The sequence below is a fragment of the Homo sapiens genome, chromosome 12, assembly GCF_000001405.40.
Source record: "Homo sapiens chromosome 12, GRCh38.p14 Primary Assembly".
NCBI classification, from domain to species: Eukaryota; Metazoa; Chordata; class Mammalia; order Primates; family Hominidae; genus Homo; species Homo sapiens.
The window spans coordinates 107,048,797-107,075,659 of record NC_000012.12 but is presented as its reverse complement, the minus strand read 5'-3'; the positions used below and the strand labels follow the sequence as shown (position 1 = coordinate 107,075,659).

The 26,863-nt window shown below is 35.9% G+C and overlaps 1 protein-coding gene across 17 annotated transcripts in view; it reads left to right on the top strand.

The window, feature by feature from the left end:
- Positions 1 to 26,863, top strand: part of CRY1 (cryptochrome circadian regulator 1) — a 102,186-nt gene that overhangs the window by 17,890 nt on the left and 57,433 nt on the right. For 2 of the 17 annotated variants that reach the window (NM_001413464.1, NM_001413465.1), the window contains exon 2: positions 2,606 to 2,725. The exons of 14 other annotated variants lie outside the window; for them this stretch is intronic. In NM_001413464.1, the coding sequence (NP_001400393.1) occupies positions 2,652 to 2,725 (74 nt within the window). In that variant the 5' untranslated portion in view covers positions 2,606 to 2,651. Of the gene's footprint in view, positions 1 to 2,605; positions 2,726 to 25,866; positions 25,890 to 26,863 lie in introns of those variants that run through there. One more of the 17 variants, XM_047428319.1, reaches the window with a different exon arrangement.

Here is a 26,863-nt window from a genome sequence, read left to right as displayed (position 1 = left end):
ATACGTGGCACAGGGTGGGTGTCAGTATGTCCTTGTGTATTGAATGTATAAATGAGTATTGTTCTGCTGATTTTGCTGATGGAATTTCAAGTTGACTTTCCTGTGTAAATTACACCCGCAGACTGATATTGCCTATTATTCGTTAAAGTTGATTAAAACCTTCAAGACCATGGTGAAGCAAACTTGAATACAGAATTCCTTTAGTACATTTTTTTCTTCCCATCTAGTTTAGCTGTCTTATCTACAGATAGTTAATTAGACAAACTTTTTTGGTGATTCACCTTTTATCAAGGCTTTTTGAAGCATTCAGTTTCATTTTCTATAAAACTTTACTTTTTATATTCTCAGTTTATATAAAATTTAAATTACGTGATGAAAATAAGTTCAGCTGGCATGAACGTGTTTGAGAAACACAACTGACTCTTCATATGTCTAGAACTTTAACTGATTGGAATAGGAATTGGACTTATTAGAAAGCAGTAGCCTATTTTATTTTTGTCAAACTGAAATTAGCCATGTCCATCAGTCAGCATGGCCTCTGTATGCTTTGCACAGGGTATAGAAGGCATTTGGTTATTTGTGTGAATTGATAAATTGGAGATCACTAGTAGTTTTTGTTTTTTGTTTTTTGTTGTTTTTTTTTTGAGACAGAGTTTCACTCTTGTTGCCCAGGCTAGAGTGCAGTGGCACGATCTTGGCTCACTGCAACCTCCACCTCCTCGGTTCAAGCGATTCTCCTGCCTCAGCCTTCCAAGTAGCTGGGATTATAGGCATGCGCCATCACACCCGGCTAATTTTTGTATTTTTACTAGAGACGGGGTTTCATCATGTTGGCCAGGCTTTTCTTGAACTCCTGAACTCAGGTAATCCACCCGCCTCAGCCTCCCAAGGTGCTGGGATTACAGGCGTGAGCCATCGAGCCCAGCTTAGTAGTTTTAATGTATGTTAACTACATAATTGCCAAGGTCCCTTCTAGTTCTAGAATTGTATGATTTCTGTGATGGTAATACCAAAATAATTTTTAGTATTATAAAAGATATAACGATAGGTTTTTGAAATTTGACATAAAATTCATTCTCAAATATTTTTATTTGGTTTGGGTTGCATATTTTAAATAATTGGATATTAGGGTTTCCTAGAGATTAAAAAATGCTATTTAAAAAAAAGAGAATTCTATTGACTCTGGTTACTTTTGCCATTTTTATCTTATCCTATCTGTCTTCTCAATAGCAACAGCAACAACAAATTAAATATCTTAATGACACGTATTTTTATTTAGTTTTCTTGTTTTAAGTGATGTAGGCCAGCAGGAGTTAAAAGGCTGTAATAGAATGACTTAATATTAAATTACTGTGCTACAGTGTATATGTCTTAGAGAATGTGCTGCCAAGCCTTTTATTGGTATTATGTATGGTATGGGGTCAGATTCTAATTTTGAGGTTAAAATACCCTTTTTAATTGTCTGGCTTAGTGTTAATATTTTTTGCAATTAGGGGCATAATTTGGGGTAATGTGGGAATAGAAAGGAAAGATTGAATGAAAGGAAGATAATTAAAAAGAAGAATAACCATCAGAGTAGAGTGACATGTAGGTTTTTGGAAAAGGAGGAGTCACTGATTATATTTTGAGATCCCATGAAGAGAGACATAACAAAGTTAAAAGGAACTAGTTTAGAAATTAGGATAAGCTTAATTTTAGGTGTATCAAAGTTTGTTTTAGGTGTATTGAGGTTAGGGTAACAGTGGGATATCCCGATACAGTTGGTTAGCAGGGACTGAAGCTAGGAAGAGAAGTTGGGACTAGGTGTGTATTTTTAATTGGAAACAGTCTTTTGAGAGGTGATAATTAAAATTAGGGTAATGGGTGAGAATACTGAAAGAGGAGCATATAGCAAGACAAAAGGAATGGCAGTCTTTTCTATTTTTTTGAAACGGACTCTGTCTCAATTGGTCGCCCAGGCTGGAGTGCAATGGTGCAATCTTGGCTCACTGCAACCTCTGTCTCCCGGGTTCATGCAATTCTTCTGCCTCAGCCTCCCTGGTAGCTGGGATTACAGGCATGCACCACCATGCCCAGCTAATTTTTTTGTGTTTTTAGTAGATACAGGATTTTACCATGTTGGCCAGGCTTGTCTTGAACTCCTGACCTCAAGTGATCTGCCCTCTGCAGCCTCCCAAAGTGCTGGGATTACAGGCATGAGTCACCGTGCCCAGCCAGTAATGGCAGTCTTTATGATTATGATTTTTAAAAAGTATATTTTAGGCCAGGCACAGTGGCTCATGCCTGTGATCCCAGCTGCTCAGGAGGCTGAGGCAAGAGGATCAGTTGAACCAGGGAGACAGAATGCAGTGAGCCGAGATCACGCCGCTGCACTCCAGCCTGGGTGACAAAGTGACACTTCGTCTCAAAAAAAAAAGAGAGAGAGAGAGAAATAAAAAAATATATTTTACATGTTAAACTTTTTTGTATTCAAACTTTTATGGTTTATATCATTAGCGATAAGCCTCAATGCCCCTTTCCCACCCAAAGATGATATAAATATTTACAATGTTTTTGTAATACATTTAGAGTTTTATTTACACATATAAATCTTTGTTCCATCTAGAATTTACATTGACACTGAGGTTACACTCTAACTTCTTTTTCCCCAAATGATGATCATTTTCCACAAAATGATGGCCAGTTATTCCAACACTACTTATTGGATCATTTCCAATTCAGTGAGGTAAGTAAATATAAGTGTTAATGTAAATTTTTAATATTTTACGATCATTTCTAGGCTATTTAATTTTTAAAATGTGGATTTTTTCTGATGAAAAATACAATCATAGTAAAGAATTCAAATGATACGAAGAAAGTGTCTGTGTAATATCACCCATAAGAAGATAAGAAATACAACACTGGTAGTAGTTTTAAAATATGAAAATATAAATGTGCATATATGCACATATGTGTTAATATGAATGTGTGTTTACATGGAAACTTTGACATCTCTATTCACAAGTGTGATTAATTCATATTTTTCTTTTGGGAGCTAATTTTGTTAATTTTAACAATGAGATCATGTTAGCCTTATAGTAACTTCCTATCCTTTTTATGCCCCCAACAGTATAAATAACATAGGACTTCTGTGTTCCATAAACCTTTGCTAGAATTCACCTATAAAGCAATTTGGGTCAGGGGTTTTTGAGAGGAGTCAGATTATTTTTATAGCAATTTCGAGATTCCTGTCCAGTCCACACATCAAACTGCCCACATCAAACCCCTAGTTAATACATGAATTTAGCCTCTAATTTAGTAGCTGGTGACTCTGTAATCTACTTTCATTCTTTCTCCTCTGGAAGGTTTATTGAGTCAATAATTGATACCTGAGCTAAGCTTTGCCCATTTGGAATTTGGAAAAGGGATGCAGAGACTGTAGTCAGTTGGTATTGGGCCTTGGCACTGAGTAGTCATAAAAAATAGATATCTTTGCATAGAAAGGTGGTTGTAGAAAGACAAAAGAATGAACACATATGCAGAAAGGAACAAACAAGAGAGAATTCAATTCCAAAAAGGAGTTGGGTTCTAACATTCCAGAATCCTTAGACTTGACTATACTACTTGAGCACAAGTTTCCATGAAATACTCCTATATTCTTCCAATGCTTTTTTTTGTTTGTATGACCTAGTTTGAGTAGATTTCTGTTCATTGCAGTGAAACAATTCCTGACTTAGATCATCTTTGACATACTTTTTATTTCATTTGTGTTTATTGGTTATTCTAGGTTTCTTGTCAGTCAGTTTGATAATTGAATTTGCTATTAATGCATATTTTCCTAAAATACCTGCCGTTAAATCTAGTCTTCCATTCTCACATGTATTGCTAAAGTTGTATACCATATCTTTTATTTAATAAGTACCACAATTGCTATGATAGTCCCTTTCTTACATTACTAATAGATATTTATTTTTTTCTTCTTTTTCTTTCTTCGACTTGCTAGATGTTTTTATACTTTATTGATCTTTTCAAAGCATAACTCCTATGGAAGGAATAAAGAATATTGTCAAAGAGTTACCTCCACAAAAAACATCAGGCTTAGATAGTTTCATAGTTGGGTTCTACCAAAGTTTAAGAAACATGTGACTTCAGTGATATATAAATTGTTCTAAAACATGATAAAAGAAGAGGAAACAATGTGTAGAATTATCAAATAGGATACAGAAGCATATTTTAAATGTATATCCTACATTCATGTTGAAAATGCAGGAATAATTCAGTATTGGAAATATATTAATATGTCATTATATTAGTAGATCAGAGTATAATTATATGATCACTTCCATAGATGCTGAAAATACTTTTGATAAAGTTCAATATTTATTCCTAATAAAATTTAGTACTAAACCAGAAATAGAAGGCTACCAAATCAGCTCAAAAGTCAGCATCATGCTTAATGGGTAAAATTTAGAAGTTCTACAAAGTCTGGAGCAAGATACAAATGCTGGCTGTCATCACTATTACTTATTGTGCCAGAGGTACTAACTAATGCAGTATAAAAGGTATAAAAATGGAAGAGGAAGTAAAATTTATTGCTGTTTTTAGGACAATATTATTATATCCCAAAATATCTAGGAGAATCAACTGAAAAGGTACTATTAATAATAAGAGAATCCAGGCCGGGCGCTGTGGCTCACGCCTGTAATCCCAGCACTTTGGGAGGCCGAGGCAGGGGGATCACCAGGTCAGGAGATCGAGATCATCCTGGTTAGCACGGTGAAACCCTGTCTCTACTAAAAAAAAAAAAAAAAAATTAGCCAGGCATGGTGGCAGGTGCCTGTAGTCCCAGCTACTCAGGAGGCTGAGGCAGGAGAATGCTGTGAACCCGGGAGGCAGAGCTTGCAGTGAGCCAAGGTCGCGCCACTACACTCCAGCCTGGGCGACAGAGTGAGACTCCATCTCAAAATAAATAAATAAATAAATAAATAAATAAATAAATAAATAAATAAATAAAAATAAGAGAATCCAGCGATGTGGCTAGATACAATTTTTATTAGCCTTAGGTGCAGAGAATTAGTTTAAGACATTATCATTACAGGTTTATGTAAGGTCTCTTCCTTGTTTTCTTTCTTTAGCCTCCTTTATTCCTATTTGAATTTCCCTTCTCCCATACATAAATGCATTGTTTGTTATACAGTATACATTGTGGTTATATTCTAATATATTTATCTTTTTGTAACTGTGTGTTCATGCAAAACAGATATTGTTTTATGTGCATTTATTTTTAACTTACATAAATGCTATTGTGTTGTATTTCTTATTCTGTTTTTTTCCCACAAGCACTAAATGTCTAAGATGTACTCATGTTGATACTGCTAATCCATTGCTTCTAACAGCTGTATAATGCTCTGTGAGACCTTTACCATATTATATCTGTTATCTTAATGATAGCTACCTGTTTACTTCTAGTTTCCTGACACCACAAATTGTTCTGCACTGAACATCCTTGCACATGACTCTGTGTTAAGTATTTGTTTGGAGTGTATATACAAATCAATAGAATTGCTGGGACATAGGTTAGCCCCATATGTAGTTTGACTAAGAAATGCCAGATTGCTATTCACAGTAGCTGAACAAGTCTATATTCCCACTAACAATGCATGAGTCTTCTCATATCCTTATGTCCCAACATTTAAAAATTATCCAGCTTTATAAACTTTACTGATCTAATAAGCATAAACTGATGTTTGATTCTTTTAATTTGTACTTTTCTAGTTACTAAGTTTGAGCATTTCTTATACATATTAGTTTTGGAGGTTTTTCTTTCTGTAAATTACCTTTTAATTGTCTTGTTCATTTTTCTGTTGATGTGCTGTCTTTTCAGTTTTATTTGTCGAAGTTTAAAGTATATATATGTATATATACTTTATATATATACTTAATATATATTACATATATACTTTATATATATACACTATATATACACTTTATATATATACTTTATATATATATACTTTATATATACTTTATATACTTTTTATATATATACTTTATATATATATACTTTTTATATATATACTTTATATATATATACTTTATATATATACTTTATATATATATTATATATATACTTTATATATATAATATATATATAACAAACAATGGCTACAGGCACCTGAAAAGATGTTCAACACCATTAGTCATTAGGAAAATGCAAAACAAAACCACAGTGCAATACCACTTCATATGCACCAAAATGACTATTATTGAAAAAATTTTATACAAAAAATTAGCTGGGCGTGGTGGCGGGCGCCTGTAGTCCCAGCTACTCGGGAGGCTGAGGCAGGAGAATGGTGTGAACCTGGGAGGTGCAGCTTGCAGTGAGCCAAGATTGCACCACTGCACTCCAGCCTGGATGACAGAGCAAGACTCCATCTCAAAAAAAAAAAAAAAATTTAAACGGAAAGTAATTGTTGGCGAGGGTGTGGAGAAATTGGAACCCTTGTACATTGCTGGTGAGAGAATAAAATAGTACAGCTGCTGTAGAAAAATTTGCCATTTCCACAAAAAGTTAAACATAGAATTACCAGCAATATCACTCACAGAATTCCAAAAGAATTTAAAGCAGGCATTCTAACAAAAACTTATACATGAATGTCCATAGCAGCACTATTCACAATCACCAAAATGTGGAAACAACCTAAATGTCTGTCCACTGATGAATGGATAAACAAAATATGGTCTCTTCACATGATGGAACCATAAAAAGAAATGAGATACTACAACATGGATGTCAGACACATTCTAAGTGAAAGAAACCAGACACCAAAGATCACATATTATATGATTCCGTTTATATGAAACATCCAGAACAGGTGAATTCATAGAAACAGAAAGCAAATTAGTGGTAGCTCGGGGCAGGGGGAAAAATAGAGAGTGATTCCTTAATGGGTACAAGGTAATCAGTACAGGGTTTTCATTTGTGATACAAATGTTTTGGAACTAGATAGAGGTGATAGTCACAGAGCATTATCAATGTACTCATATGCCACTGAATTGTACATTTTAACATTATTAATTTTGGGCTGAGTGCGGTTGCTCATGCTTATAATCTCAGCACTTTGGGAGGCTGACAAGGGTGGATCACTTGAGGTCAGGAGTTTGAGACCAGCCTGACCAACATGGTGAAACCCTGTCTCTCCAAAAAAAATACAAAAATTAGCGGGGCATGGTGGCACATACCTGTAGTCCCAGCTACTCAGGAGGCTGAGGCAGGAATTGCTTAAACCAAGGAGGCGGAGGTTGCAGTTAGCCAAGATCATGGCACTGCACTCCAGCCTGGGCAAAAGAGTGAGACGCTGTCTCAAAGAAAAAATTATTAGTTTTGTATTATATGTATTACAATTTTACCTCAAAAAATTGTAATCAAATAGTTTCCCTATATATCAGAGATTGGCAAACTTTTAATGTAAAGGGCCAGATGATAAATATTTTAGGTTTTTCAGGCCATATGATCTCTCTCTCAGCTACCCACCTCTCCTATTGTAGCATGAAACTAATTAGGATGTCTGTGTTCCAGTAACACTTTATTTACAAAGAAGGCAGTGAGCTGGCTTGACCCATAGTTGGCTGGCCCCTTGCTACATATAAGCAACCAGTTAGCAAATATAACAGGAAGAAAAATTCTGTGTATAATAGCAACAAAGAGAAATACAACAATCTAGAGATAAATTCAGATACAAAGAGAATGATGATTGGATCTTGTTCTCTACTGAAGCTCTTGTTCTTATGGAATAGTTAGGAACTGACTGCCTTATGGCCCATGGAACATCCTCGGTTGAGAACATCTGTCAGAAGGAAACCTATAAATTATCATTCAGTCAGTTTCAAGATTCCAGCCTTGTCACAGACTCCTGTTCATTGTCTTCCTTCTCCTGTCCCCTACACTTTTCCAACACCTTCTTCCCCCCATTAATCTGCAGTCTGGTATCTTTCTGTATAGACTGTTATTTACTCCTAGTCATGGAAGGGCCTCTTTTCCAGATGTCACAGATTTAAAATGTGAAAAACAAAACTATAAAAGTAGTAGAAGAAAACTAAGGAAGTTTTTTTTTTTTGCCTTTGAAAAGAGAAAAGTCTTCCTAACATGCAGTCCTAAAATCAAAAAGAAAAGATTGGGAACTTTAGATAATCATAAAAGTTGTGCATGCCGATATCACCATGTCAGCATCTAAAGACAACATCCCAAGGGATAAAAGGGAGTCTGTGAGATAAAATTTGATTTCCTTAATATATAAAATTCTCTTGTGTATCAGTGAATTATGAGTTCCAGTAGATTGTACCTTTTGTCAATATAGAGTCGATAGTATAGACTAAGTAAGGGCTGGCAACTTTCTTGAAGAGTTAGACAGTTAATATTTTCAGCTTTGTGAGCCACACATAGGGTCTCTTTCTCATATTCTTCTTTTTTTTATGCAGCCCTTTAAAAATTAAAAGCCTTTCTTAACTTGTGGGCTATACAAAAACAGGCCACAGGTCAGATTTGTCCCATGGGCCATAGTTTGCAAACACTTCTGTAGACTATTTCCTATTTGTTTTATTGAGTCCTTTTGAGAGACCAAGGTGGGAGGATTGCTTGAGCCCAGGAGTTCAAGACCAGCCTGGGCAACATAGTGAGACTCAGTCTCTTCAAACAAACAAATACATAAATAAAATTAGCTGGGTGTGGTGACATGTGCTTGTAGTCGCAGCTACTCAGGAAGCTGAGGTGGGAGGATCACTTGAGCATGTGAGGTCGAGGGTGTGGTGAGCCATGATCTCCAGTGCCACTGTACTCCAGCCTGGGCAACAGAGCAAGGCTCTGTCTTGAAAAAGCAAAAACAAAACAAACAACAGCAACAACAACAAAATTAATCTAAGCCAGGCACAGTGTTGCATGCCTGTAATCCTAACAATTTGGGAGGCCGAGGCGGGTGGATGTTGAGCTCAGGAGTTCGAGACCAGCCTGGGCAATATGGTGAAACCCCATCTCAACAAAAAATACAAAAATTAGCCAGATGTGTTGGCACATGTCTGTAGTCCCATGTAGTCTCTGTTACTTGGGGAGCTGAGGCAGGGGGATCACTTGGACCTGGGAGGTCGAGGCTGCAGTGAGCCGAGATCGTGCCACTGCACTCCAGCCTGGGTGTCAAAGTGAGACCCTGTCTTAAAAAAAAAACAAAAAACAAAACTTAATCTACCATCTAGAAATAACCATCTTAAACATTATGTAAATCATTCTGGGTCTCTCTATGTACATTTAAAGATAAAAGGATGAATGGATATAGAGAAATGAAGATGGGATCATATTATGTACACCATTTTAAAATAAAAAGAAGTAAATTTACTTGAATATAACAAGGAAGTAAAATGTAAGAATAGCTAAACTTAGGATAAACTTTTAAAAATTATTTTAGAATTATGATTTTACTGAACTGTAAAGTTGGTGTTGGGGGATGGGCAATAATCTTCACTTTCCCAGTTTCGGACTAATCAAAGGAGAGATGCACACACACAAAGGAGGGTTGTACTGTCAGAAATAATATTCACTTTATTCCTAGTAAAAACTAGGTTGTACGACTGTGTAGTCAGAATGAGCCTTATGATACTTTATTTTTGAATTAGACTTATTTAGCAACATAGTCATAGACTGTGCTTGTCAACCACAGCAGGAGTGGATAATGCCTCTATAATTTTACTGCATGGGAGAATAGAAACTACATCCTATAGGGCTGGGTTGAGCATGTGTACTTCCTTGTTTTTTAATGCAGAGGCAGAGATAAATTGAAGATGTTCCTTTTACTTTTTCATCTTGGTTGTGAAGTAGAAATTGCTTCCATTTATGAAAATATGAAATGTTAGGAATAAGTGTCTCATTTTGGGCAACGTCCAATTTCCTTATCTTTCATGGTATGGATCATTTAACATACTGTATTTCTTTCTACCACCAGTGCCAGATTATTCTTACTTTGTTGAAGTTTATAATAGTTCTGTTTTATTTTGTTCTATACACCAAAATTCCCAGTTATTTTTACTCTTTTTTTTTTGAAACAGAGTTTCGCTCTTGTCACCCAGGCTGGAGTGCAATGGCGCAATCTCAGCTCACTGCAACCTCAACCTCCAGTGTTCAAGTGATTCTCCTGCCTCAGTCTCCCGAGTAGCTGGGATTACAGGCGTGCACCACCACGCTTGGTTAATTTTTTTGTATTTTTAGTAGAAACAAGGTTTCACCGTGTTAGCCAGGCTGGCCTCAAACTCCTGACCTCAGGTTATCCGCCCGCCTTGGCTTCCCAAAGTGCTGGGATTACAGATGTGAGCCACCGCGCCCGGCCTTTACTCCTTTTTTTTCAGACAGAGTCTCACTCTGTCGCCCAGGCTTGGAGTGCAGTGGCATGATCTCAGCTAACTGCAACCTCTGCCTCCTGAGTTCAAGCAATTCCCATGCCTCATTCCTGAGTAGCTGGAATTGCAGACGCGTGCCACCATGCCTGACTGATTTTTGTATTTTTAGTAGAGATGGGGTTTCACCATTTTAGTTAGGCTGGTCTTGAACTCCTGACCTCAAGTGATCCACCCCTCTTGGCCTCCCAAAGTGCTGGGAAAATGGTGTGAGCCACCATGCCCAGCCCATTTTTACTCCTAAATAAATTCAGAACTTATCAGCAGTCCTTTTATCTCCATTTATCTGTTGTTTGGCTTGATATCATTGTCCAGCTTTTGCCCCTCCCTCAAGTTCTTTTAGTTAGAGAATGTCTGTTGCTCCATTAGCATGATAATCTGGTGGAATTATTTTTCTTCTAACATATTTGTGAATACTTTTTCTATTCCATTTGTTGTGTTTACTGTTTGAAGTTTACTAATTAAGTTAGATTGGTTTTGACTCTCCTGTCTTTTTGTGGTTTCTGTCATTTCACTGTTTTTCTTTCAAATTATTGTGATCTCCTAGAAACACCTACATGTCATAGTTATTTGGCGATATTGTGTGGATTCTGCCCATTTCTATTTCTAAGTTATTCTGTATTTTGATTTTCAGTTTTGTTAGCTTTGTGGTCTTTTTATGTGCTTCCACTGTTGATGATTTTTGTCTTCTGTTTTAACTTTATTGAAGACTGCCAAACTGTTTTCCAAAGTAGCTATACCATTTTGCATTCTCACTGACTATATATGAGACCAGCTGCTCCTCATCCTTGTCAACATTTGGTTTTGTCAGGTTTGTTCTTTCCCATTCTAATAAGTATGTGGCGGCATCTCATTGTGGTTTTAATTTGCATTTTGTTGTTGTCTGTTTTAATGTACTTATTTTCCATCTATATATCTTTGGTGAAGTGTGTTACTCTAATCTTTTGCTAATTTTTTATTGGGTTGATTATTTTCTTATTACTGAGTTTTGAGAGTTCTTTATGTATTCTGGATATTGTCTCTCTTTGCCTAGTTTATTTCACTTAGCATAGTGTCTCTACATGCATTCACATCACAAATGACAGAATTTTCTGCTTTTTAAAGGTCGAATAGTATTCCATCCCGGTCGTAATAGAATATTTCTATAATTACAGAAAGTTCTCTCATAACCCTTTTTGAGTCAATCCATTCAGGGAACTTAAAAAAAAATAAGTATACTCTCAGTTTCTACCCCAGATCTATCAAAGAAGTAATATCCAGGGTGGCGCTTAGGAGATTTATTTTGCAAACCCCTGTCCCCCCAACCCCAGTATGAATATAATGAGCCCTGATTAAGAACTATGACCCAGCTGGACGCAGTGGCTCATGCCTTAATCCCAGCACTTTGGGAGGCTGAGGCGGGTGGATCACATGAGGTCAGGGATTCGAGACCAGCCTGGCCAACATGGCAAAACCCTGTATCTACTAAAAGTACAAAAATTAGCTGGGCGTGGTGGTGCATGCCTGTAATCCCAGCTACTCTGGAGGCTGAGGCAGGAGAATCACTTGAATCCAGGAGGCGGAGGTTGCAGTGAGCCGAGATCGCACCACTGCACTCCAGCCTGGGCAACAAGAGCAAGACTCTGTCTCAAAAAACAAACAAAAAAACAAAAACTATGACCCAGCTGGGTTATATATTGCATTTACCACATGGCCTAGATTACCCTGTAACATATTTGCCCCCTAGCCTGTTGCATTTTCTTTCCCTTTAATCTCCATGTCAGCATTGAAAAACTTGCCCCAAACATAGCTTTAAGTGGTGAGGCAGGGAAACAAAAGCAAAAGAACTCATATATTAGAAATCCCTAATTCTCCTGAGTTCCAGTCCTTTTTATCTATTTGTCAGGTAATTGACAACTCAACCAAGAATATTTAAAACCAAATTTATTTCTTAATTAATAGCGTATCCTCTCAGCTCCTAAGCTAGAAACTTAGTGCCATTTTTGAAGTTTCCTCCTCTTCTTGGATGTAAAAATCCTATTGGTTTCCACCTCTAAAACAGCTTTAAGTCTGTTCCATTTGTGTACACTGCATTTCTTGCTTAGAATATTAAGACTCCAAAATGGTGTCTTGAGTCTTCTTAATCCAAGATCTTCCTCACTGCTGGCACAGTTTTGTTTCTAAAATTGAGTTCACAAACTGGGAAATAAAGAGAACACCATGAAATACATATTTTTAACTTAAAAATAAATAAAGTTTTGTATAAAATCAAATACTACCTTATATACACAGTATCCTAGTATAGCAAATGTCAGAGAAGCAAATGATAGTCAAGTTTTAAATTGAGAAAAACTTAATCATTAATGAATGTTTTAGGAAGTAGGGAAATATTTGCCAAAAAGACTGAAATTCACTTATGAAGCTATTGACTGGACTGTTCTGGAAGAAGAGGCAGAATAAGCTATTTGACAATATTCTTTTATCGTATGACGTTATGGATAATCCTGTATTCATGGTATACAATGTAAAAGAGTCAGTACTGTTAAATACTGGCTTGAATATATATTTCCTTTTGTTTGAATGCAACTCCCAGTGTGCATTGTAGAAATGAGGTATTTGTACTTCTATGGTGTATGTATGAGGGAGATCTGCAAGATAACTTACTATTTTATCACAGAAAAACCAGGAGAAGAAATTCTTAGTTTAATGATTCTTTTGTGACTTTTTTTAGACTGGAAAATATATATTATGTCAGCGCTGACACAGTACTAGCTTTGAGCATCAAGGAAAAACTAAGTTTTAAGTGATAGTAGAATAAAATAACTTGTACTGTAATGTAATTGCTGACATTGTTTTATTCAGAAAAAAGAGTTGGTAGTCAACATTTTGCTTCCTAATCATGATTAATTGTTGAATGTAATACAAATTATGAATATAATTAAAACTATAATAATCAAGTGAAAATTGTTTCATCTTCCTGAAAATATCTTGAGTCAAGGCTTTGGTTTCCATTTCTGAAGTATATTATAAAAACAAAAGGTGCTCATGTAAGTTTTTGAAATATAGGATGAGATGAAAACATTTATTCATAATACGATGTCAATAAAAAGTTACTTCTGTGACTTTTTAGTTTCCGGAATAGAGCCAAAATAGGATTTTTAATGTTGAATGTTGAGGATAAGATAATAGGGTTTCTTTTCTTTTTTTTTTTCTTTTTTTCTTTTTTTTTTTTTTTTTTTGAGACAGGGTCTTGCTCTGTTGTCCAGGCTGGAGTGCAGTGGCACAACCTTGGCTCACTGCATCCGCCTCCACTTCCAGGGTTCAAGGAGTTCTCGTGCCTCAGCCTCCCAAGTAGCTGGGACTACACCACTGTGCCTGAGTAGATAATAGGATTTCTAAAGATTGAACTGTGATGGTGAAGTTTAACTCCTTCCCAGCATTGGATAATTTTGATCACTTGTTTAGAGAAAGAAATTAATGATATGCTAGTGGATATGGTAAGAAAAATGTGTATTTTTGTGCATTGAAATAGGATTTGAAGAAATATTTTCCAAGTCCAAATGCAACTAAAGAATGTATTAGGGGCCGGGCGCAGTGGCTCATGCCTGTGATCCTAGCACTTTGGGAGGCTGAGGTGGATGGATCACTTGAGGTCAGGAGTTCAAGACCAGCCTGGCCAACATGGTGAAACCCCATCTCTACTAAAAAGACAAAAAAATTAGCCGGGCGTGGTGGTGGATGCCTGTAATCCCAGCTACCCAGGAGGCTGAGGCAGGAGAATTGCTTGAACCTGGGAGGCAGAGGTTGCAGTGAGCTAAGATCACGCCACTGAACTCTGTACTCTAGCCTGGACAACAGAGTGAGACTCCATCTTAAAAAAAAAAAAAAGACTGTATTAGGAATCAGTTTATTACTATTTCCTGAATTGAAGCATTTGGCTGTCAGCTTTTTTAGGGTTCACTGAATTAACTTCTGAGTGCTTATAGTAGTGAGCCATCACTAATAAGGTAAAGAGACACTGGTAAAATATTGTGGTAGAAAACGATCATTGTTATTATTAATTAAAATATGTTTACATTTTATTAAACATTTTAATATATTTTCTATTAATTTACCTGAATTTAGTGGTCCACATATATGTTAAATAGTTGTTATAGCCATAGATCCTTTAATGAACTTTTTAATAAAAGTTTGATAAGAAATAGGAGTTTAATAAACACAGACTTCCAGCTTTTTGGGAATCTCAGTAAAGAGAAATAATTTTTTTTGTTTGTTTGATTTTTGTTTTTTGAGACAGAGTCTCACTCTGTCACCCAGGCTGGAGTGCAGTGGCGCGATCTCAGCTCACAACTTCCGCCTCCCGGGTTCAAGCCATTCTCCTGCCTCACCCTCCCGAGTAGCTGGGACTACAGGTGCCCGCCACCACACCTGGCTAATTTTTTGTATTTTTAGTAGAGACGGGGTTTCACTGTGTTAGCCAGGATGGTATCCATCTCCTGACCTCGTGATCCGCCCACCTCGGCTGGGATTACAGGCGTGAGCCACCACACCCGGCCCAAATTTTTTTAAAAAAGAGTTAAAAGGTCATAGTTTCTCTTCAGAAAGACCTGCGTTCAGTTCCTGATTTGAGCATTTACCCACTAACAACATGTGTGACCTGGGTAGGATATTTAACTTTTCTAAGATTGTTTCTTTATTTTTAAATGGAGATAATACTATCTTAGTCTGTTGTGTGCTGCTATAACACAGTACCAAAGACTGGGTAATTTTTAATGAACAAAAATATATTGCTTATGGGTTTGGAGGCTGGGAAGTCCCAAGATGAAGGGGCTGGCATTTGATAGGACCTTCTTGCCCCATCATCCCATGGCAGAAGAGCAAAGAGAGGACAAGAGAGAGAGAGCAATAGGAGGCTGAACTTGTCCTTAGATGAAGAACCCACTTCTGTGATAATGGCATTAATGAAATAGAGCCCTCCTGGCCTCATCACATCTTAAAGGTCCCACTTCTGAACGTTGTTGCATTGGGGATTAAGTTTCTAACATGTGCTTTTTGGGGGACACATTCAAACTATAGCACCACATATCTCATAGAATTGTTTGAGTATTAAATGAGATAAAGAAAAATACTTAGCATACTATATTGGGGAAATTATACTCAGTAAAATGTATATTAATATCAACGCATATAATATCAATATTTTGTTCTTTTATGTTACATGGATGGGGACTACAACTGATCACTCTGATCCAGATTAAATTTGATCTCAGATTACCTTTGATCTGCATAGTACCAAAATATTTATTTATATCACACATATTTATTAAAAACAGTATTATTTATAGATAACAATAAATTGGTGAATTACACTGAGATCACATAATAGGCTTGAAGTTAACTAAAGCCTGCAGGTCTTGTTCATTTCACCTGCTGCCAGGCTCTGTTGAGAGGATTTCTGAACCTAAATGCAGAGCCTTACCTGTGTAGATTCATTTTGTTTTCAACCCAGTGTTCAGTTGTTTGGTATAATTCTGAGTTCTGTCACTGTGAGATCATCATTACTATTTATGTTGATATAGTATACATCATCTACTGGTTGGATATCATGGATTTTGTTTGATATCTAAATTGGAGAACTATTTATTAAATTGTACAGCTGTATATAGATGACTTTAGAAGTCTTGTCCATTATTTTTTCAAACCTGTATTCATGATCAGGCATGGTAGCTCATGCCTGTAATCTCAACACTTTGGGAGGCTGAAGTGGGAGGATTGCTTGAGGCCATGAGTTCAAGACCAGCCTGGGCAACATAGCGAGACTTCATCTCTACTAAAAAAACGGAAAAAAAATTAGACAAGTATGGTGGTGCCCACTAGTTTCAGTACTCAGGAGGCTGAGGCAGAAGGGCCACTTGAGCCAGGGAGGTTGAGGCTGCAGTGAGCTGTGATCATGCTACTGCACTCCAGCCTGGGCAACAGAACAAGACCCTGTTTCAGAAAAATAAACAAAATCTCTATTCATGTCCCATTTTTGGTTATGATATCAATTTGGGGGGTTGTAACTTACATTAAAAATAATGAAATAGACTAGAAAATATTAGGCACATTATGTCATAAGAGCATTCTGTTTTATGAAACTTTTGTTTTAGTTACATACACCAAACACATACATGTTAGTTGCACTGGATCATTTTTCTTACTATTAATATGAGGGACTGCCAGAAAGTTTGAATGTCACTGATTTCGTCCACTTATTAGATGAGGAAATAGGTCCAGTGAGATTAAACCACTTGCCCTAGGCCATATCTGTGCTTACAGTGTCTTAATATAAAACGTGATTGATTAGATTCCAAATCCTTTTAGCTTTTTTGTATAATTGAAAATAATTATGAAATCATCAAGAGCTGTATGGGTACAGAAAGCCTCATGATAGGCTCATTGGTATTAGAATCCTTATTCCAGGTTAGAATTTATTCATTCAACAATACTTTATTGGCTACAATTCATCCAGTTAAAAATCTTATCAACATTCAGAATTTTCTGTCTTCGCAAAAAGCATCATTTACTTTGCCATATACTATTGTCATATGTTATTGCCAGTCTAATAATCAGAAAGTGAAAAGAGGTTATCTTGACATGACCTTATTAGTAATTCAGTTTTTTATTTTAGAACAAGCTCTGTTTTCTAAGTACTTCTAAACTTTGTTTAATAACCCTTTATGTTACCTTCCTGAGGAAAGTAAGCACACTTACTGGCTTGTAAGGAATTTTCCCCACTGATAGCCACCTTTAAAAATCCAACTTGTTTTTTCATCTCCAGTCCTGTAACTATTTTCTCAACTTGAGCTCATTCATTGTGTCTGTGGTGTTCTGTTACTCTTGCCAAGAGGTTTATCTTGGACTTTTGTTCTCTCTTTAGGTTTGTACACTCCTATTTAAAGTTTCTTATTGAAGCGTGTGAGTGTGTGTGTGTGCATCTGTGTCTGTGTGTATGTATTTACCAGGTGCTAGTGGAAGAGGACGTTCTGCATTCTCTCTGTCATTTATTAATATTATATTATTCTGAGTTATAGGCTTGTATTCTCTTTGTTAATTTTCTTGCCATGAGCATGAATTTTAAAAGGAGTTATATTCTCATCTTTAACTTTTTTTTAAACTTCAGTTTGAATATTCCTGACACTTTATATATTTGTTTGTTTTTTTATTTTTGAGACAGGGCCTTGCTCTGTTGCCCAGGCTGGAGTGCAGTGGTGTGATCATGGCTTACTACAGCCTCAAACTCCTGGGCTCAAGTGGCCTCAGCCTCCTGAGTAACTGGGACCACAGGCACATGCCACCATGCCCAGCTAATTTTTTTTGTTGTTTTTTTGGAGAGACGGCGTCTCACTTTGTTGCCCAGGCTGGTCTTGAACTCCTGGCCTCAATCAGTTCTCTTGACTCAGCCTTCCAAAGTGTTGCAGTTACAGGTGTGAGCCACCAGTCCTAACCTTAATTAACTCATTCTTATTTTTTCATTTATTTATTCATTCTTATAGAGACAGGGTCTTGCTCTGTCACCCAGGCTGGAGTACAGTGGCATGATGATAGTCCACTGTGGCCCCCAGCTCCTGGACTCAGGTGATCCTCCCACCTCAGCCTCCCAAGTAGCTAGGAGTACAGGCACATACCACCACGCCCAGCTAAGCTGAAACTTTTCTTAAAGGCTTTTGTTTGTTTTTGCAGTTTTACTCAATTATATGCCAGTCCTCTCATCTTTGAAATGTGGGTTTGTGAGAAAACTTTGGAGAGAAAGAAAGAGGCATTCTTCTATTCCCTCACTCCTGATGTTAGATTCCGCTCGTTTTACTCATTCACGAGTGGGTAGGCAGGGCTTTCTTTTTAAATTCCTGTGCCATATTGCCTCCTGATTTGCCAACCCATTATTTGCTGATTATTATTTATGCCTATTAAGTGACAGGCACTCCATAAATCTTTCTACTTGGCATTTATTGGGCTTTCTTTATACCATTTTCATTGTTTAGTCAGTGTAGATTTTTCAATCTTGTTAACAAAAGTATGACTAAGTATTGTACAATACTTACTGCAGTATATTATGGTGCTTATGTAACTATTTGCTCTTCTGTATTGTAAGTACTTAGGAGGCATCTAATGCAGTGACTTCATTTTCTCTTAATTTTTTCTTTTTTTTATTGTTACATGATAGCTTTACATATTTCTTACATACTAGACAATCATCTGTAATCACTTTACTTCTGCCTAAAATATATCATTTAGAATTTTTTTTAGTGACATCTTTTGGAGACAAACTCTTTTATCTTTTATCAAAATGTCTATATGTTTGTCTTAATTCTTGAAAGATATCTTCATGAATATAGAATTTTAGGTTTCTGGGTTTGTTACCAGTTTATTGAAAATATTCTGTTGTCTTCTGGTTACCTTTATTGCTGTTGGAAACTGTTTCTCCTTTGAATGTAATTTGTCATCTACTCCTATCCTCTAGCTGCTTTGAAGATTTTTCTCATTTTTTGAAAGATTATTTGTGGGAACTTCCTGAGGCCTTTTATAAGGTTGTCTTCCTCTAGAACAATCTTTTGGCTTCCCTGGGCCACATTGGAAGAATTGTCATAGGCTACACATAAAATATACTAACATTAATGATAGCTGATGAGCTTAAAAAAAAAAAAGTCTGTGCTTAAATCTCATAATGTTTTGAGAAAGTTTACAAAATTGTGTTGGGCCACATTCAAAGCTGACCTGGGCCACATGCAGCCCGCAGGCCACAGGTTGGGCAAGCTTGCTCTAGAATTTGAACTTACTTCTTAATGGCATTAGAGTCATTACCACTGCAGGGCACTTTAAATTTATTGTTTGAGATTTCTTGTGCCCCTCTGATGAAAATCCACCTAAGGGCTGGCCAGTGCTTACAGCCTATAAATTCTTTACTTTTTATTTATATTTTCCATCTTTTTCTGCTGAGTGCCAAGGCAACCTCACAAAAGGTGTGGAGGAGGATTTTGTTTCTGGTTCACGTCTTCCCTAACGATGTCTAGCCTTTTGGCATCTTGGCTTAATGTTTTGGAGTATCTTAGACTCTCTGTCTTGAGCTGGTTCTAGGCTTTAATTTCTGTCCTTGTACCGTGAGGCTGTCAAAACCACTATTAAGGTTCTCTGGGATTATTAGCAAATGTTCTTAGGGCAAAAACTAATTATATGTTCGACTTAGCTTTTGGTTTGGGAATTCCTTATTGTCTTGCCAACTCTTTAGGGAGATATTTTATATATCTTAACCAGTATTTTTGTTTGTTTAGACCAATTAGATTGATCTAAATAACCTAAGCTGTTACTTGAAATTGAAACCCATTTAGCTTTATTCTTGTTTGATATAAATATATGTAGTATCTATGGTTATTTTGCCCTTTTCTTTCATTCTTTTTTTTTTTGAGACAGGGTCTTGCTCTGTCTCCTACACTCAAGCCATTCTCCTGCCTCAGTCTCCCAAAGTGCTGGGATTACAGGTGTGAGCAATTACACCCAAACCTTTTCATTTTTGATATTGCTTATTTGTGTCTCCTACCTTTTGTCCTGATACATTTCATCAGAGGTTGGTTAGTTTTATTGTCTTTTCAGACAACCAACTTTATTTGCCTTCACTATGGTAGGTTTGTTTTTTATTTCAGAATGTGTTAATTTTATTTCTTTGTTCTGCTTTTTTTTACGCTAACTTATTGAAATGGAGTTAGCCTATTGAATACCCTATTTAGCCTATTCAATTTAATAGGCTGAATTCTTAGGCTATTTTTAGCCTTTCCTTTTTATCTGATACAATTATTTAGGTGTGTAAATATCCCTCTAATTGCTACTGTAGTTTTATTCCACATTCTCTTTAATGTGGTATTTTCATTATTCAGTTCAAAATATTTTCTAAATTTTGTTATGATTTTTTTCTTTGGTCTGTGAATTATTTAGAATTATATCCTTTGTTACTTATAATATTTATTATATTCCAAACATGCAAAGTTTTCTAATTGTCTTTTCAGTATTAATTTTTAGCATAAATACGTCAAGGTCAGAGACTATGCTGTAAATAATTTCAGTTCTTTGAAATTTATATAGACTTTTTTTTAAATGGTCCAATATATGCTGAATTTTTAAAAATGTTCCATGTGTATACTGCTGTCTTCATTGTTATTAGACGGGATATTCTTTGTTTTTCCATTAGGTCAAGGTTGTTAATAAGTTGTCCAAATCTTCTGTACTCATTTTTGGTCTGCTTATCTCAATTATTATCAGAAGAATGTTAAAATCCCCACAGTTTAATCATAGATCTGTCTTTATTTGAAGCTCTGTCATTTTTACTTTATACAATTTGAAATGCTAAAATTAAATATATGTTCTCCTGGTGAAGTGAAGGCTTTTGTTCTTATCATTACGAGGTGTGGAGAAATGTGTAAAATATGTATATATTTAGATGATTATTAACCTGGTTAAAGTCATTATGAACGTGACTTTATAGTATATTTCTTTACAGTTCATTATGTTTATAATTAATATAGCTATGGCAGCTTTCTTTGGTATGTTTATAGTCAACTTTTTTGTATCCCTTTTTTTTTTTTTCAAACTTTCTGGAGTCTTTTAGATGTCTCTTGTAAATAGCATATATTAACTTTTGTTTATTTAGTCTGATAGTTTTTAATTAATTGAAGCCTTTCGTTAGTCTGTTTACATTTGTTATAATTACCAAAGTATTTGGATTTATTGTCATATTATTTTGTGTTTTCTTTTTGTCCTTCCTGTTCTATTTTTTAATATTCTTTTAAATTCTGTTGTTTTAAATTTCATTAATTTCTTTCTAATAACTAGATTTATTAATTTATCAGACTTAATAAATTTATTAATTAATAAAATAATTACACATTATTTTAGCTATTCTTTTAGTGTTTACTCTAGAAATTACCAGAAGCACATTGGTTAATGTCTAAAGTTAATCAATAATTTTGTCTATTTATTAGATAATTCAAGGCCCTTGAAACGCAAACTCTAATTACCTTTCTTCTGATTTATATATTCTAATTCTGGTCATTTCTCTGTTTTTGTTTTTAAAAACCAAAATATATTATTCTTGTTTTATAAGGCCAGTATTCATTTACCCACATATCTACTATTTACAATGTTCTTTATTCTTCCTAGCATCTCAGCTCTTCCATTGGGGAACATTTTTCTTTTATCTCAGATGTATCTTTTAGAATTCTCTATAGAAAAAGACTGGTGATGGTAAACTCTCTTAGGTTTGTTTGAAGATACTGGCCTTGTTTACACTGGATATAGAATTCTAGGTTGACAGTGATTTTCTCTGAGCCTGTTGGGGATGTAGTTATAGTCAGCTGCCACTCCCACTCATACTTTTTTTGGGGGTAATATCTTGTTTCTTTTTGTCTAATTTTAAATATTCTCTTTCTCTGACATGTTCTGAAGTTTTTCGATGATGAATCTCCGTCTGAGTTTCTTTGTATTTACTTCTCTTGGATTTACAGTGCTCCTTGAAACCTGTCTGTTGCTATCTTTCATCAGCTTTGAAAGTTTTTCAGCTGTTACTTTTTCAGATCTTGCTTTGCCTTGCTTTATTTTCTCTTTTTGGAAATACATTTGTAGCCGGCCACCGTGGCTTATGCCTGTAATCCCAGCACTTTGGGAGGCCGAGGCAGGCAAATCACCTGAGGTTGGAAGTTCGAGATCAGCCTGACCAACATGGAGAAACCCCCTCTCTACTAAAAATACAAAAAATTTGTCGGGTGTGGTGGCACATGCCTGTAATCCCAGCTACTCAGGAGGCTGAGGCAGGAGAATTGCTTGAACCCGGGAGGCAGAGGTTATGGTGAGCTGAGATTGCGCCATTGCACTCCAGCCTGGGCAGCAAGAGTGAAACTCCGTCTCAAAAAAAAAATACATTTGTACGTGTGTTAGACATTTTTACTGCACTCTTTTATTTTCTTCATATTTTCCATCTCTTTGGTTCTCTGTACTTCATTTTTAAAAATGTCTTTTTATCAGCTATTCTATAAATGTTATTTTTAACTGTATCTGTTAAGTTTGGATTTCAATTATTATATTTTTCATATATGGAGATTTTCTTTGGTTCTTTTTCAAATCTGCCATTTCTTATTCCTTGCTTTTTTTACTTTAAACATGTTGATTAAATTATATGGGCTCTGCCTTCAAAATGTATCCAAGTTCGGACCATCTCATGCTTCCACATTAACTACCGAATAATTTCCCTTCAGATTCTCTGGTTCTCTCCTTCTTCCTCTTCAGCTCATTGTGATCCTTCATAATCACAAGTAGGATCAATCTCTAGTGGCTTATATCTCAGAGTAAAAGGCAGAGCCCTTACCATAGTCTACAAGATGTCATGTGAACTGGAACTTGATAACTTTCTAACCTAATAATCTCTTGCCACTCTTTCACTCTCTGTGCTGTGGCCATACTGGTTTTTTGAGTATTCTTTTTAAAGTGCCATGCATGTTCTTCACCTGTGTTGTACATCTGCTGTTCCCTCTGCACAAAATGTTTCCTTACCAGCACTGCTTGCTCTCCAACTTTCCTTCAGGTTTCTGCACAGATGTTCTATTATCAGTGAGTATTTTCTTGACTTGTTTCATATAAAATACCAGTCTCCATTCCTTTATTCCCTGAAGTCCCAGTTTCCCCTTTAACTTTATGTTATTCAGTTATTACCATTTGAACAGTTTGCTTTACTGTTTTTGTATTATTCTGTCTTTACTCCCTCTCCTTCTAGAATATTAGCTTCAAATTGTAGGAAGTTTGACTTTAAAAAACCACAGGTGTGTTTCTAATATCTAGTACAGTCTTTAGTACATAAGTTCTCAATAAATATTTGTTGAATAAATAAATGATTATAAAGTGTTATTCAAGGGACTGCCCTTGTGGTAAAGAGGTACTGTCATTTTAGGAGAGTCTCAAATCTAATTACGTTAGATTTTTTAGAATTCTCTATAGTAAAAGGCTGCTAATGGTAAACTCTCCCAAGTTTGTCTGAAGATACCATCCTTATTTACACTGGGTATAGAATTCTAGGTTCTTTTATGACCTTCTTGATTTTCTTTTTCTTGTCTTTCTCTTTAAAAATCATCCTTACCAAGTAACCGTTAGAAAAACCTCGTGCAAACTTGGGATAGTTGTTTACAATTTATATCATAGGTCAGAAAAATCAGAATAATTTTCAGCATTTTTGAATAATTTTTTTGAGAAGGGAAATTTCTTTTAGACTACAGAAAATCATTATATATAGTTCTAATTTGCCTTTTACAAATGCTTAACAGATTTTATTTAATTTTATATAAGTCTCCTAAAGTCCCCAAGTAGATGTTCTGCTGATTTTCCCTCCCCTTTGGAGTCACAATATAGTGTTCTTTAAAAATAGATAAAAATTAGTAGGAGCCTTAGATTACAATTACCTCTATGTGGTTTTTGAAATCATGGTGGCATAAGTTATATAGACTTGTGCTAGTGTAATTCAACTCTAGAAGGTATATATACTTCTATTACAGATCATTTTATGCTGCTGTCACAAAGTGAAATGCTATGATAGTTAAAAGGCCCATATCAAAGATTATCTTCGTGAAACTTTATGGACCTTCCTTGACAGATTGACTCCTCTGTGCCATGAACTTTAATAATGCAGTTTGATAGGTAATATCCATATCTTATTCTCATTAAATTTGGGAGGCTTCAAGGATGGGAATTCTGTATCTTCTTATTTATCTATTTTTAAAGCTTTATTGATTTTTTTTAACTCAAGAAAATACCCAAATGTTGATTGAAAGAATGAGTGAATGAAAGTGCTTCAGATACAATTTTCTGCATTTTATTGGTCACTAATATTTTACCATAAAAAGGACATAAAAGCAGTAGGACTATAAGAATATTTAAAAATTAATACAGGCCTAAATGTAACTTTTTACCTAAATAAGATAATGTGACTCACAGGATTAGTTAAGAATAGTTCTGTTGTTTCTGTTTGTTTGTTTGTTTTTTCTCTACATAACACATGTTTTTCATATAATTACATAACAGCTATATGGTTAGGGAACATTTTTATTTTCAAATGTGTAAACGCATGTAATTGAAATTTGTTTTCAGTCCATGACAGGTTCATAACCCTCTTGTTTGAAATTTTTAAACTGTTTCTCCACCTTTCTTTTGAAAACCACATCATATTTAGTGGCTATCTTAATTGGATTTATTTTGTTGTTCTTTCATTATTTTCTTTTTTCTAGAGCTCTCATACTCACTTCCTGTTAAGTCTCCTTATCAAAGTGTCTGAATCTTTCTGTCCTGCTCTTTCTCATCCATTCCACTCTTCCTTTCTTTCATGCTGCCCCCTCCTTCTTTCATAATTGACATCCAAACACCCATTTGTCCTTTCTAAGACTGGTTAGTCTGTCCTTCCAAGGCTGGTTAGTCTGTCTCTGTCATCTTTACAAAGATCCATCTTACAAAGGTCTGTCCTTTCTGTCAGCCTTTCTTCCTTTTTGTGTTATTTCTGTTTGTGCTGCTATGAGGGAACATCTCAGACTAGGTAATTTATAAAGAAAAGAGATATTTTGGCACACACTTCTGTAGGCTATACTGGAAGCTGCTGCTAACACTTGCTTCTGTTGAGGGCCTCAGGAAACTTACAATTGTGGCAGAAGGTGAAAGGGAAGCAGGAGAATCACATGACAAGAGAGGGAGCAAGAGAGAGGGGAGGAGGTGCCAGGGTCTTTTAAACAACCAAATCTTACATGAACTAATAGAGTGAAAACTCACGCATCATGACGATAGCACCAACCCATTGATGAGGTATCTGCCCCAGTGACCCAAATGGCTCCCCCCTAGGCCCACCTCCAATACTGGAGGTCACATTTCAACATGAGCTTTGTAGGGGACACAATGTCCAAATCATATCACTTATTCTGTCTCTCCCTTCCTTTTTTGGTGCTACCTGCCTATCCTACCTTCCTTCTTCCAAACTTCCCTCCCCTTGCCATCTTTCTTCCCAGCCCTCCTCATTGTTTTTCTCTCTACCTTTCCATTTTTTCTAGCTTTTTCTTCTTCTCTTTCCATTATTCCTATTTTCTTATGGAAAGATGCTCTCTTGCTTTTACTTTCCCCTTGTGTCTCCCCCACTTTGTCTTTTGTAACCACTCCATTTTCTTTATCTCCTTACTTCCTTGAATGCCTTAGTTTTTCTTCCTTCCAACTGTTCTTCCACTTGTATATCTAGTTTTATAGCAATTAGGGCCATTTCTACAGTAAGTCCCAAATTTATGTCTACTATTGCAGATGTCTAGCTTAAATTCCAGAATTATGTACATCATTTTATAATTAACAAGTCCTCTTGGATGTCTCATAGGCACTTCAAACTAAATACATGTTAAACTGGGCATTTCTACTTCTGGAAGTGGCTGATTTGGTTGTCCTAGACCAAACACCAGGTATGTATACTAAAAATACATAGGAAAGCTGAGAAAATATTTTTTAAAAATCTCTTTGAAGCCATCAGAGAGTTACACAGATAATAAGAATTTGTCTGGACACGATGGCTCACACCTGTAATTCCAGCACTTTGGGAGGCCGAAGTAGGGAGATCACTTGAGGTCAGGAGTTTGAGACCAGGCTGGCCAACATGGTGAAACCCCAACTCTACTTAAAAAAATACAAAAATTAGTCAGGTTTGGTGGCACGTGCCTGTAGTCCCAGCTACTCAGGAGGCTGAGTCAGGAGAATCACTTGACCCCAGGAGGCGGAGGCTGCAGTGAGCCAAGATCGCACTACTGCACTCTGGCCTGGCCAACAGAATGAGACCCCATCCCAAAACAAACAAAAAAAAGATAGTAAGAATTTGTGGGGCTAAGATCTGGAAGAAAAGGAAAACCAAGATAATCGAACTTGACATTTGATGCTGTTTTTTCCTTAATGCAAAAGTCAATTCTGAAAATTACAATGGTGACTGAGAGACTGAGCAGAATTTTTAGCAGTTGTGTTGGGCTGAAAGGGAAAAAAATGGAGTTCAGAGACTAACAAGGAAGAGGAGCCCTGGACTATTTCAGCTTTTGGTTGAAACCCCTGAAAGGCAATATCCTAGGAATAGAGTGAGTAAAATATCCTATACAAGCACTAAAGTCCATAGGGAAATCAGCTTAATACTTAAGTGATTAATGGTGTTAGATCATATTTTAGAAGTGTGCCACAAGTAAATGTTAAGGTTCTCTAAAGGAGGATATCTATAGCTTTTTAAATATAATGTCTGGAACACGGTAAAAAATAACCAGGCATTTTGAAAGACAAAAAATGACTGAAACCAGGAGGAAAAAAACCAGACAATTAGACTCATAGGAAATCCACATTAGACTTATCAATTATGGATTTAAAAACAGCTGTGATTAATATTTTCAAAAATTGAATACAA